The following is a 14,872-nucleotide window of genomic DNA, read 5'->3' as shown; positions in this document are numbered from 1 at the left end:
GAACTGGTAACATGTTACTCTTTTTGTGTGTGTGTGTGACAGGGTCTGGCTCTGTTGCCCAGGCTGGAATGCAGTAGCATCATCTCGGCTCACTGCAACCTCCACCTGCCAAGCTCAAGCAGTTCTTCTACCTCAGCCTCCCAAGTAGCTGGGACTACAGGTGCACACCACCATGCCCAGCTAGTTTTCGTATTTTCTGTAGAGACAGGGTCTCCCTGTGTTGCCCAGGCTGGTCTCAAACTCCTGAGCTCAAGTGATCTGCCTACTTCGGCCTCCCAGAGTGCTGGGATTAAAGGCATGACCCACTGCACCCGGCGTGTTACTCTTATGAAGGCTTGAGAGAGTAATCAGAATAGAAAATTCTTAGTACTTACACTTTTTTGTGTTTCTGGTTATCTTATAAAATATATGTTGAATATTAGGTTTATCTTCAGCCATATATATAATTTAAATAGTACTCATTTCAAGTGATGCAAACATCTCTAAGACAAGGCTCTTCCCATTCGCTTGCTTGGTCAGAGGTAACACAAGGGCAATATTCTTGGAAATGATCCTCTTGTTTTTTAATCAGTTGAGGTATATCCACAGCTCTTGTGTGTTTGTTGCTCTAGAGGCTGAAAGTAGAATATTCTTCCTATAAGCAGTTACTTTAGAAGATAATGATAAGGAGTTCTCTGTCCAAAGAGTGGGTCATGTAGACCTAGAGAAAGGTGTGTCATAAGAAATTATGACAGATCAAATCCTCAAAACTCATTATTTTAATGGTAGTTTAAACAGAAGTGAATTATGACCTGCAAAACACTTAACTGTCACGAAGTAAAATGAGCAAAAGTGACAGTGATGGTTAAATTAGGTGGAAAGTGATTATTTTCCTTTTATTTTCCAAATTCTGCATAATGTTGCTAGGACATCTATTTAGAAAGTGGCAACTTTCTTCAGAGTTGTTTTGAAAAATGAGGCACACCCAGAGAAATCTTTCACAGCCGCTTTTTGAAGGACAGCCACAAAAGCAAAAACACTTCAAGAACTTTGGGATCATAGTACCAAAAATGTTGCTGGGTCACAAGGGTGATAACTTTCCCTTTTATGAATGTATGATTTTCTCCTTATTTCTTTTTAATAAACAGGAGATGGAGAACTGTCATGGGAACATTCTGATGGTGATATCTTCCGGCAACCTGCCAACAGAGAAGCAGTAAGTGTGAATAGCTCAAATAATTCAACACTCCACAGCATCAGGCCAAGCTTTCCTCTCCTCGTGGCTACTATTCTAGCAAATCCAAAAAAAAGGCCCGATTTCTAACACCATTTTTCTTCCCTTTTCTCAAAGTTTTTAATGTCATCACCAACTGGAAACCATTTAAGTACACTGTAAAATTGGTAACTGGAGGCAGGAAATGTGCACAAAGAAACCATAGCCCCAGCCCTTTGTCTAGGTCAGAAGTTGGTACTCTTTCAGGATGACTTGCCAAGTCTTTATGTGTTCTCTAAGGAAGCTAGGTCACTCCTATCCTCAACAGTGAGGACCTTCTGTAGGGTTGTAGGATACAACCATCTTTTTGGTGGGATTTGGTAGGTACTTCAGACATGTCCACATAAACTCTTTCCCAAGCCTTAGGCTCTCAGTCATACAGTTGGAAAAGAGGAAAGGTAGCAGTCTGGATTCTCCTCTCTTCAGCCTGGTGATGTCTCCCTTCTGTTCTCTGCACTAATCTCAGAATAAGCCTCACAAGTAGGCATCTGTCTATGTAAGTAATAGCATCTTTTGTTCTTTTGTATTTTGAAGGAATTTATAAAATAGCATTCCTCTCTAAAAATATATGTCTAAGAAGCTTTACACTACAAATTTCTTAAAATCTGAAAAGGAGATGTTCCGATTCAAAGAATCTATCATACAAAATGCACAGTGGTGACCATTGCACATAAATAGGTGTTCATCACATCCTTGTACAAAAAAAGTATGCAAGGACATTCACTGCGTTGTTGTTTTCATAAAAACAAAACAAATGGAGACAACCTAAATGTCTACTAGGGACTTGGTGTGTACATCCAATTAATGGGACACTGTGCAGTTGTTAAAAGAATACGGTACATCTAAATGTAGTAAAGTGAATTGAGCTCCAAGATATGTTAAGTAACAAAACAAGGTGCAGAATGAAATTGTACACTATCACTTCTTTATGTAAAAATTGTATGTGCATGTATATAAATGCATATAAACCAATCTGGAAGGTCACATACCAACATGTCAGGTGTGCTAATCTTAAAGGAGTAGAAGTGGGCAGGAGGAAAGGTAGATTTTGACTTTTTACTTTATATTTTCTGTATAATTTGATGTTTTCCTATAAGCATCAATTAGTTTTGTAATAAAATATATTTGATTTTCTAAAACCCTAGAAAAATCTCAGCAAGGATTGAATATGAGGCAGGAGTCCAGGGAATTACAGGGCAAGCCTGAGGATATTGAGCATGTGAGGAAGATGTTGATAGGGGATGCAGTAGAATGACTCATACAAACATCACAGTGCTGCTGAGGCTGGGCTTCCTGGTCATCACATGGGCCACTTCTAACTTGCATGCTCCCAGCTTGCCAACACCCAACCCAAAGCTTCAGCAGTGAGATGGAACCATTTCTATTTGTCTTACTCTCTATCAGTATTATTTTCTGAACACTGCTGTTTCTGAATAGTTGCAGAAGAATTGGGGAAAGGGGTTTGGAGAACAGTACTCTGGACATCTCAAAAAATCAGCATCCTGCAAGAGAGGGTAGGCTTCCCTGTTTGCTGGTTAATATAAACCCTGAGGAAAGATTTTCTCCACCCAACTCTATCTGCTTTATAGTAAGTGAGATTCCTTCCAGAGCCTGACAGGAGATGATGTCAGTCTCAGTTTTCTGTGTTGTCTGTTCCTCTTTTTCTCAGCCCCTATTTTTTATTGTGGTAGGTAGTTGAGAGTGGCTGAATTAGTGGCTGTCAACCAGATGTCATTCTAAACCAAATTTAGAGTTTAGTCACCTTAAGCTATGTGACTTATTCCCTGAGAGGCCCCCACACTAAGCACTATGGCCACCTTAGCAGTCTTGCTGGTAATGCCATGAATTAGCCTTTCTTCTTGACTTCATTTTACACTGCCCTCAATTCCAGCCCTTATCTTTCAGCTTCATTGACAGGCCTAGTGATAGGCCTGGACTTAATCCAGTACTTCCTGTAGCAAAAAAGGTCGGGTACAGAATGTGGGCCCTTGAAATAGTTATTGATTTTCAAAGGAGTTCAAGACCTATCTTTAGAAACAAACATTTGTGCCTGGTAGACCAAAATGGCCATATGGTTTCACTTTATTATAAATAAATATTTCCCTTTGTTCTAAAAGGGATAGATATTGTGGGATATGATTTGAATAATAAATAGCATCTGTAGTAATGGAAAAATATATACCTGGCACATAGTAGTCACCCAATAAATAAACATTGAATGAATGGGTGTGGGAGGTGGCGTAAAATGTGTGTGATGGTGGAGTGGGGAGGGGGTTCCTCATTAATTTTAATGCACAGGAATTTGTCTCAAATCAGAGATAAACTCTTCAAATTTGTTGTTTGCTCTTGACCAGCCTAAAATGAGAAAATAGGAGAATCCCTTCTGAATATCCTTTGCAGGCCCAACTTCCTCAGGGCAAGAAGAAAAGGCAGCCCTAACAACAGATTTCTTATCCAGGAGACTGTCCTTTTCGTAAACTGTTCCTATTTACCGGGAACCAGCAAAACCTCTGTTCAACAGAAATACAGCTGACTGGTTTCTTTTGCCAGGTGGTCTGAAAACCATCGGCTTAGCAAGTTTTATGAAGTGCACAGGAAGAGGAACCAGTGGTTCAAATATGACTCCTTTGTAAAAACCTGAAACAGTTTTTGTTTGATTTCTAAGTTGTAATTTCTCATGAATTGGTCCTCGTGCCATTGGTGGGGAGTGTGTCTGCGTGTGTGTGTGTGTGTGTGTGTGTGTGTGTGTGTGTGTGTGTGTGTGTGTGTGTGTGTGTGTGTGGAGTGGTGTGGTATGTGGGGAGGAAGAAGTAGGTGCAGACTAGAAAGCCAAAACATGAAAGCATGCATAATTTTGTTTTGGACAACAGCCAAGCCCTGATTTTTGCCCCCTGTAGATTACGTTGAAATTTACCATTAAAAAAAGTGAAAGCGTTTGGGATAGAAACGACATGAAACAGATAAAAATCCATGTCTCATTTGTACTGTCAGAACAATGGTTTGGGAAGGAAATTGGCCTAAGTGTCTTCCAGCCAGAGATAGTCCTAGGTTGGTAGTGATTAAGATACAATGTTTTAATGGCTGTATGGATTAGAATATATTCTGAAGCCGCTTTTTAAATTAAACTTTTTTTATTTTGAGATAACTATAGATTCACTTGCAGTTGTAGCAGAAAATACAGAGAGATCCCATATTCCCTTTGCCCAGTTTCCCCAAATGGTAACATCTTGAAAATCTATAGTACAGTATCACAAACATGAGGGCCCTTTCTGGACCCTGATGTTTTCTTGTCTACACCAATAAAACTCTTATATTTTAGACTTTAGAACATGAAATTCTTGGGGGTCCTCTACAATAGTGGGGATTTTTCAACACTGGAAAAGAACTGTTTTAGAGCCACCTCTAAAGCCTGAAATATTTTTCAGTCTTTCAAGTAAGTAAATCAAAAAATACCAAAATACTGAGCAAAATAAAAGATCATAGCTATATGGTCATTTCTAACTGGTTTTGACCCGCTCTCTCAAGCAGGCTAGTTGCAGCTAATTTTTAAGATAAGCTCCAATTTCACTTACAACTTCAGGGCGTTAATAACCTTTTTCTCCTTTGCTCTGAGTTACAAGGTCAGAATGGCCCCTCATAAGTCTCTTTCATTTGTTTAGGGGAGGAACTCTAAAAGAACCATTACCCTTAAATCAAAATCACACACCACCACCACCCACTCCAGCCCCCAAACAGAAAATCCTTTATGTCAGTGATTCCCAACCTTGGCTTCAAACCAGAGTCTCTTGGGGAGTATATAAAATCCTAATGCCCAGGCCTTCCCCCAAACCACTTACATAAGGATACCTCAGAGCGGGACCCAGGTATGAGTATTTTTTACAGCTCACCGGGTGATTTTAGTGTATAGCCAAAGTGGAGTATGTGGTATATGTGGTTGTGAACATTGTAGCTGAATGAACTTTTGTATCTGAAAGAACTTCTCTTTGCACCAGCTTTTAGTCAAATGGTTATAGACCACTGAGTTTGATTGGACATTCTTTCTTCCACTTTCTCCTTCTTCTCCTTCTCTTCCTCCTTCTATTCATCTTCCCCCTACTCCTACACTCCTACCATCTCCAAAAACTCAATCTTCATTATCACCATGAGTAAACTGCCTCTCCTCCTTGGCCTCAGTTTCTCTGTCTGTAAAACAAAAGACTTCAACAAGATTAGGTTCTGGGGGACTGACTGGTCTACAATAGGGCCTGTGATCAAAATTCTTGAGGATTTTGTTTTTTCATCATGATCATTTTCCTACCATTATTATATGTCCCAGGTCTGAGACGTTGGTGCTAAAGAATGGCTTTTCATTTTGTGTTCACCATCATGAGTCAGAGAACTTCTCGTACTTGCAGCTTATCCTGGGTCAACAACCTTCCCTCTCTAATTCTATCCCAGTCCAACTGCTTCTTTTTAGGATCAGTGGGACACCAACCAGCCAAACTGTCCTCTATGTGTTCCTTTGGCAAAACTTTGCCAAACTTCAAAAAGGACAGAGCAACCTATAATGGCCTTTGTGGAATGTGAGTGATTATGGCAGAAAAGGACATATGAGCCATTGTGGGAATGAGAAATATTTGAACTGAGAATCCTATCCATGTGCATGAAAACAAACTGATGCAAATTTTTATTTGTGTGAATTTTGATAGCAATGCACCAACATAGGCTCTTCTTAGATAGAATAACATTGTCTTTCAAAAGGCTAAAAAAGGTCCTCTTACTTCAGCTCCTGTTTACTCTCCCTTTCCCCTACCAGTGGCCCCTTCCTGCCAAGAGGGCAATAATACTTCCCAAAGTGAAATTTGCAACATGCCTGTCTGTGGCCCATAACTTTAAACAGTGTTTTATGGGATATGGTCAGGGGACCCCATAACTATCTTCCCAAGGTTCCTCACTATTTCTGTCACTGAATATAAAGACCTTCCTTTTCAATTGCCTGTGAAAGAGTTTTTTAATGGGTTCCCCCTCCTTCACCCCTAACAATTGCCTATAAAATACAATTAATCTTACTTGGCTTTAAGCCTTAAGGTTCCATTCTTCATTCATTTCATCTTCTTGTACCCCCAGCCTACTTTAGCTCCTGGGAGAGGGGTGGGTAGCACAATAGTCTGGTCATCACGTGTGTTGAACCCTTGCTGAAAGATTACTTGTATGACAAGACTCTAAGCTTTTCTTAGGTACCAGAGTTTTGTTCACTCAACAAGTATTTGATGAACACCTTCTAGATGCCTGACACTAAAATCTAGGCACTGGAGATATAGCAGTGAACAAAAAGTCCTTGATTTCGTAGAGCTTACATGCCAATACTGTCATGTACTATCAATTCTTCTACCTATAAAATACCTAGGGTATTTGTACTGCATTGTATGATCTTATGCCATTACCTGTCTTTAGAGTCTAAGTACATCTTATCAAGACTATACTCGAATCTCATCTTTTCCTCCTATCCAGTTCACCCTATGCATGATCAGGATTCAATGCTTTGAAACAGTTCTGATTACATTATTTCTCTAACTTTAAAAAAAAAAATCCCTCAAAGCCTTCTATGCCCTCACCTCTATTGCTTACCAAATAAAGTCTTCACCCCTTAGCCTGTCATTTAAAGTCTTCCATGATCTGGCTTCAACCCACTTTTGGAATGTTATTCTGCAACTGTTCCCTTTTATGGACTCGATGTTCTCTTCTTCACCTTCTCAACTTGTAAACCTCTGCCTGGACTATTCCACTTAACTTCTGCCTGTAAAAAAGTCTACCCATCCTTCGTGGCCCAGGTCACAAGCCCTCCCCAACTAGAAGCTCTCTCTTTCTCCTTCTGATTTGCACAGGACTGCTTACTTCTTCTGCAGCCTCTATTCACATTCTGCCTTGCGTGCAGACTACTGTCTTAACTCTTAAACTGAAATGTGAGAGTCTTGGCAGCAGGAAGGACGCTTTAGCCTTTTTGGCTCTTTTCTCCCTGAGAAGTTTGCCTGTAAATCTAGTCCTATCTTTTAGAAGAAGAGAGATAAACCTTGGCAAGTTGTCATTAAAAAAAAATTTTAATGAAAAAAATGTCAGCTGCTTGTACATGACCACATCCCTATTTCTATTGGTGTAGGTAAGCATGCAGCTGAAATCAGAGCTCACCACTATAAATCAAAATTATTGAATGACTTCTAGTATATAACTTAATCTCTGTGATCTCATTGGTGGCTTTTGGACTAAATTTGTTCTTGTTATTTTACAGAGACATTCTTACCACCGCTCTCACTATGATCCTCCACCAAGCCGACAGGCTGGAGGTCTGTCCCGCTTTCCTGGGGCCAGAAGTCACCGGGGAGCTCTTATGGATTCCCAGCAAGCATCAGGAACCATTGTGCAAATTGTCATCAATAACAAACACAAGCATGGACAAGGTAAGGGGCATCCTTCTTTTGTATACTTCCACAACAAGGCTTCAGCAGCCCTGGTCTTTGCAGGGCTGGAGCTGGGAAAGGACCCTTTCTCCCAGGAATAGCCCATATTCACTTGTGGCTCACTTAGCATCAAGTCTGTGGGTATAGTCAGGTGACTCCAGGAGACTCTTTGGACTTCCTTAAATGCAGCCAAAAGAGCATAGTCCGGTCCCTTTTGTAAACAGCCTCTTGTATTTTCTCAATTATCCCTGGGGATTGTAGGTCATTTGGGAAAATTTCTTGGGTCTTTAACAGAATGAGTGATTGTCTGTGTTTTAGTAGGGGACCCAACATTCAAAGGTACTCAGTGCCAAACATCACTGAAGCTCTTATCTATACCTTAGAAATAGCAATTCTCACACCTCAATGCACCCCAGATTACCCTGGGGCTCTCGTTAAAGATACATATTCCTAGCCCCACACTCAGATTCTGGTTAAATGTGTAGCATATGAGACTATCCTTAGAAACGAGTAATCCAGGTGCAGTGGCTCATGCCTCACAGCACTTTGGGAGGTCGAGGCAGGAGGATCACTCGAGGCCAGGGGTTCAAACCAGGCTGGGCAACATAATAAGACTCTACAAAAAAAAATTTAATGAAAAAATATTAGCCAAGTATGGTAGTGAGTGCCTGTAGTCCTAGCTACTTGGGAGGCTAAGACAGGAGGATCACTTGAGCCCAGGAGTTCAGGGTTACAGTGAGCTATGATTGTGCCATTACACTCCATCCTGGGGGACAAAGTAAGACCCTATCTCTAAATTAAAAATTTTAAAAAGGAAAAAGAGTAATCCAGTGAGAAATCCCAAAACCACCTGGCTGAGCACCAGGAAGACTGATCAGGTTAAGACTGACATGCTGTCCACTTAGTTGATCAACTGGCTACAGCAGGCACCCATAGACTTCCATAGCTTCCAATGTCTTCTTACACAGCATTTTCTGGCCTCCACCCGCCCCCTGCCCCCACCCCCACACACACCAGTAGCAGGAGTCAGGGAGGAGAAACTCAATCAAACAATTGACTGCTTCTTACTTTTTTAGGCCTCCTGTCAACCAGCTCGTTGGAGCAAGGGCTCAGCTGTTTCCTTTTATGAAACCACAAACATGTTTTGTTTCGTTTAAAGGGAAAACAAATCAAAAGCAGTTTTCTGAATGGGTTAAAAGTAATAAATTATTAAACCAAATGATTGAATAACATGGGTGAAAAACAATCCGTTACAAAGAACTCCTACCATAAATCTCAACAAAGCTAGTCAAGCCAAAGCTAGTTGATCACATCTGTTACTAGTTAGATGTATATTTCAGATTACAGATAAAAAAATTAAATTGCTTTTGAAATTTGCAGGCTTAAAAAAACATTCGAAATAAAACCATTAATGGAAAATGGTGATGTAGTAGAAGAATTGGAAATACTTACTATCGATCTGTGTTTGATTTGTATTTTATTATTTTTAAGTTCCAAGGATTTCTGATAAAAGCTTATGAAATCAGGAAGAAAGGTAAAGATAGCTTGATTTTCAATTCTAAATTGCCTCCAATAGATTCCATTTGCTGTGAAAGTATTTCAAAGCCTTTTAAAAGTGTAGGGAAATGGATTTTGAAAATCCTAAATCCCATAATTTCCACAAGGTCTCTTTAATTTCAGGGCAGAGGCTCATCCCTTGATTTTCTCCATGTCCTACAAAAACCCCAGCTGGTTTACATTTATTCATTTGCCCCCACTGATTTGGATGCAACAGTTCTGTTCTGACCTTTCTAATATAGCTCACTGAGGAATCACTTGTCCCCACCCCCAACTCCCAAGCTGGATGATTCAAAATCATCTCGATAATTTTTGGGGTAAGGAGAGGGCTATGTTTCCCTGTCCAGAATTAACTTCACCCCATTCCACTGCAGAGTCTCATCCAGTCTAGACTATTCCTTTAGTCCAAATGTTCAGGGGAGATGGAGCCTAGCTATATAACACTGGGAATCCTGCCTGCCCTGCTCATCATGGATCGTTCTTTTCCTTACATCTCTTGCTAATAATGTGGTCCTCTGATATATCTACTTGGCTCCTTGTTAGCATCAAATAAGAGAAATGATAGGAATCCACCATTTTGAACTTGAATCCAGCCTAAATTTTCTTGAAGCATACTGTGTGTCCACTTGATCACATTGTCTAGAAGGGAACGTTACTGTTTGGGGAGAAAAAAAAAAAAAGAGGTAAGGGCAGGAGAGTGAACAGCACATCTGGCCTGTCTTGTGTGATCCTGTCCACAGCCCTGACCTCACAGTTGAGGTGTCAGCTCTCCATTTTGTCTCATTGTAACATTGTGAGCCACTCCAGTTTAGGTTATTGGAAATCTTTACGTGGGTTGACCAGTTAGAGTGTCCAGTATTCTAGCAGCTCTTGCAAAGGACAGGAAAAGGCAGCTAACATTATTCTTATTTCTTAATGTGACTCAGTGGACTTGATGAGAAAGAACTAGCCCAGTGATTCATCCTTCTGAGGCCATTGTCTTGCAGCCAAATCAGCCAATTCCTAGAAATGCATCAAGTGGGACTATTTCTCCCCAACAGCCCAGCCTGAAGTGATACAACCCACCCTAGAGATGTTGTTGATTGGGATGCCAACAGGTTTCCCTGGGTGTGATGAGGTGATGGGAATAATAAGAAACACACCCAGTCCTAGTCATGACTTGAAATCTCCACAATGTCTCAGCACTCTCAAAAAGGGAGATAACTCATCCTCGGACTTCCCCATCTGCAGCCTTGTGCAGTTATCTTGGAGCCTAGCTCCATGCCTTATAGTAGGAGCCAGATATATTTGGTGTTGATTTGCATAGAAAGATACTCCTGTGGCCCCTTCCCTTTATAGGCCCCTCAGCCTGCATCCTAGATGCTTGCTCCTTTTTTGGGTGGGTCTGGGGAGGGAACAGGGTCTCACTCTGTCACCCAGGCTGGGGTGTAATGGCGCCATCACGGCTTACTGCAGCCTCGACTTCCCGGGCCCAAGTGATCCTCCCACCTCAGCCTCCCAAGTAGCTAGGACTACAGGCATGCACTACCACACCTGGCGACTTTCGTATTATTATTTTTGTAGAGACTGGGGTCTCCCTTTGTTTGCCAGCTGGTCTTGAACTCTTGGGCTCAAAGGATCTTCCTGCCTCGGCCTCCCAAAGTGTTGGGATTACAGGCAGGAGCCACCACACCCAGCCAGATGCTTGCTCTTTTAAGGTCCTTCAGAAGACATGGGGCCAATGACTTAACTTCCCACTTAACAAATGTCAGACTGCCAAAGGATATCTGTGAAGCAAGCAGTGATCAGCTGTAGCCAAATATCTATAGCCAGTATGAGGTGGGAGACTGAGGAAATTGCCTGAAATTAGAGGCATAAAAGGCTATCCCTTCACAAGTTACCCAGGAGGGCTTGGTCCTTTCCCTCTCAATCTTGACTTATCACTTTCCTTCCTACACCAAACAGTGCCGAACACCATTAAGCTCCATACTTATATATGTTGGTGGATCAGACAGACTCATAGCATTTGACATTCTGAATGGATTTGCTTCAGGATCCGGAAGAAACTGTCCCTTTGGGAAGAGCAGTAATTTTTGCATCTAGCCTCCATGGAAAGCAAATCTCCCAAGGAAATTTTCATGCCTGGAAGCACATCCACTTGAGGCATACAAATTTTCTATAGAACTGAAAATATTAACATTACATTCTACTAGAGATAGAACTCTGCTTTCATGCATTCATTTATTCTCATATATATATATGAGAATATATATATATGTGGCTGGGCGCAGTGGCTCGCGCCTGTAATCCAAGCACTTTGGGAGGCCGAGGCAGGCGGATCACGAGGTCAGGAGATCGAGACCATCCTGGCTAACACAGTGAAACCCCGTCTCTACTAAAAATCCAAAAAAAAGTTAGCCGGGCGTGGTGGCGGGCACCTGTAGTCCCAGCTACTCTGGAGGCTGAGGCAGGAGAATGGCGTGAACTTGGGAGGCGGAGCTTGCAGTGAGCCGAGATAGCGCCACTGCACTCCAGTCTGGGCGACAGAGCGAGACTCCATCTCAAAAAAAAAATATATATATATATAGATATATATAGATATACAGATATATAGATATATATAGATATATAGATATATATAGATATATAGATATATATAGATATATAGATATATATAGATATATAGATATATATAGATATATAGATATATATAGATATATAGATATATATAGATATATAGATATATAGATATATATAGATATATAGATATATATAGATATATAGATATATATAGATATATAGATATATAGATATATATAGATATATAGATGTATAGATATATATAGATATATAGATATATATAGATATATAGATATATAGATATATATAGATATATAGATATATATAGATATATATATAGATATATAGATATATAGATATATAGATATATAGATATATAGATATATAGATGATATATAGATATATATAGATATATAGATATATAGATATATAGATATATAGATATATATAGATATATAGATATATAGATATATAGATATATATAGATATATAGATATATAGAGATATAGAGATATATAGATAGATATATAGAGATATAGATATATAGATATATAGAGATATAGATATATAGATATATAGATATATATAGATATATAGATATATATAGATATATAGATATATAGATATATATAGATATATAGATATATATAGGCTGGGTGCGGTGGCTCATGCCTGTAATCTCAGCACTTTAGGAGGCTGAGGCAAGTGGATCTCTTGAGTCTTAGAGTTTCAGACCAGCCTGGGCAACATAGGGAGACCCCATCTCTACAAAAATTAAAAAAAAAAAAAAAAGCACGGCATGGTGGTGCATGTTAGTCCCAGCTACTCGGGTGGCTGATGTAGAAGGATTGCCTGAGCCCGGGAAGTCAAGGCTACAGTGAGCCACAATCACACCACTGCAACCTGGGTGACAGAGCAAGATCCGGTCTTAAAATATATATATATATATATATATATATATATATATATATATACATATATATATTTATGGACTGCCTACTATGTCTGAGGCCATTTATAAGCATCCAGAAGCTGCTGCTGAAGAATCTGGAGAAGCTCCTGAGAGTAGAATATGGCCCAAGCTGTTTTTTGGTCACAGATACTACTCGGTAAACATAGCCCCATGGCTATGACAAGAACAAAGGATGCTTGATATGTTAAGTAGTTCAGGGCTTGGGTTCTGAATATAGGGTTCCATTTTAGCTCCTTAGCTTTTAATTGCTAATTCTGCATTCTCTTTCAGTGTGTGTTTCCAATGGAAAGACCTATTCTCATGGCGAGTCCTGGCACCCAAACCTCCGGGCATTTGGCATTGTGGAGTGTGTGCTATGTACTTGTAATGTCACCAAGCAAGAGTGTAAGAAAATCCACTGCCCCAATCGATACCCCTGCAAGTATCCTCAAAAAATAGACGGAAAATGCTGCAAGGTGTGTCCAGGTAAAAAAGCAAAAGGTGCGTTGGTTGGAGGCCCTGCTTTTGGTTGACTGAGATTCTCACCTAGTCTTTCTAAACTTTCTTTAGGCATCAGAAACATAACCTTTCATATAATTGTAATGATAATATTTCTAATAATAATGAATTTCATTCTCTCTTCTCTTGAAAGACTGAAAAGGCAGTTGCTTGGAAGAAATTTACTACCCAGAAATATGCTTGTGTCTACCACACCTCTCATGTATCCCTGAGTGTTGAACTTACCTATGCTTTTCTAAATAGTAGAGAATTTAGGCTATCATGATGATAAGGAAGAATAGTAGCAGCTTTCATTTATATCACTATTAAACCCATCAAAGTACAATCACATCCATTGCCCTTTTAAGACAGGACGAGAGGCAGGTGAGTTATAGTGGAAGGAGACCAGGTTCTGATCCAAGCCTAAGATGTTGAGTGATCTTGGAAATGTGCCATATCCATTCTGAGCCTCATCAGCCTTATCTGTACAATTGAAAGTTTAGAAAAATTATCTCTAAGCTCCCTTCTAACACTATAATCCTATAATTATATTATTATTTATTTTTTAAAGATAAGAAAATTGAAGTACAAAAATCAAAGGACTTGCCCAGATTCATTCAACTAATCAATCATAAAACCAAGGCCTATAACCCAAGTCACTTCCAGCCCATCGTTTTTTCTATGCCAGTAGAAAATATTGACTGATAAAAAAGACAAGTTAATTATTTAAATGGTAGTTTTTAAAACATGAGCTAAATAAAAATATAGTCCCTAATATTGGGGTTGACAGAATATAGGATGGGTAATCAAGCATTCTATCTCTGTCTTGCCACAGGTTTCCTGTGTGATCTATAACAAGTCACTTCACCCCTCTGAGCTTCAGTTTCCTTCTTTGCAGAATGAGAGGGTTAGAGTAGATTTTTTGGGGGGCCCTTACAGCTCCAACATTCGAAGAGTCGATGATTTAGTCAATCCCAGGCACATGAATTTATCATTTCTTATGCTTCTGCAAAGCATTTTTATAAACACAGATGAAAATTCAAACATTTTAAAAAGTAGGTAGAGAGCTAAATTATATACTTCTTCAACTTAGTCCCTCATGACTAGTAGGCAAACATGCCCTGAATCAATGTGTATTTATTGAGCATTTTCCTGCAGGCCAGTGGTACTCAAACTTGTCTGAACATTAGAACCCCTTGGCGAGCTTCTACATATACCTGTGTCCCATCCCCAGAGACTATAATTTAATTGATTTGAGGTGTGGCCTGGGCTGTGGCATTTTTAAAAGATCCCCAGGTGAACATTGTGTGCAGAAAAGTTTGAGAACTACTGCTGTAGGCCCAGGGTCATTTATGGTCTTGCTACTCAAAGTGTGGTTTATGGACTGGCAACAGCTAGGAGCTGGTTAAAAATGTTGACTCTCAGGCCCCCACTCAAGACCTACTGCATCATAATCTGCATTTTAACAAGAACCTCAGGTGATTCTAATGCACATTACAGCTTGAGAAGCACTGATTTATGACACAAAATCTTCCTCAATGTAACAACCCCCATCTTCCAGAGTACACAGGGGGCAGCGTGTGGACAGGAAGGACAGGAGCTATTTGATAAGGTGTAGAG

At 39.9% G+C, this 14,872-nt stretch overlaps 1 protein-coding gene across 12 annotated transcripts in view, besides 1 other annotated feature; it reads left to right on the top strand.

Annotated features, from left to right (window-relative positions):
* The window catches only part of CHRDL1 (chordin like 1), a 121,962-nt gene that overhangs the window by 93,969 nt on the left and 13,121 nt on the right, over positions 1 to 14,872 (top strand). For 8 of the 12 annotated variants that reach the window (NR_159734.1, NM_001143983.3, NM_001143982.2 and 5 more), the window contains 3 exons: positions 1,128 to 1,195; positions 7,518 to 7,686; positions 13,046 to 13,255. Coding sequence is in view for 11 of the 12 variants with exons in the window: in NM_001143983.3 (NP_001137455.2) it covers positions 1,128 to 1,195; positions 7,518 to 7,686; positions 13,046 to 13,255 (447 nt within the window). In the remaining variant the exon portion in view is untranslated. The remainder of the gene's footprint in view (positions 1 to 1,127; positions 1,196 to 7,517; positions 7,687 to 13,045; positions 13,256 to 14,872) is intronic. The other 4 variants (NM_001367207.1, NM_001367208.1, NM_001367206.1 and 1 more) reach the window with 1 other exon arrangement.
* Positions 2,794 to 2,853: an enhancer, noted in NCBI's record as "active region_29856". NCBI's record gives its function as "activates an Ori minimal core promoter by ATAC-STARR-seq in GM12878 lymphoblastoid cells {active_cell/tissue: GM12878}" and the evidence as "EXISTENCE:reporter gene assay evidence [ECO:0000049][PMID:35858748]".

The sequence above is a fragment of the Homo sapiens genome, chromosome X, assembly GCF_000001405.40.
Source record: "Homo sapiens chromosome X, GRCh38.p14 Primary Assembly".
NCBI lineage: Eukaryota > Metazoa > Chordata > Mammalia > Primates > Hominidae > Homo > Homo sapiens.
This window is presented reverse-complemented; position numbering and strand designations above follow the sequence as displayed.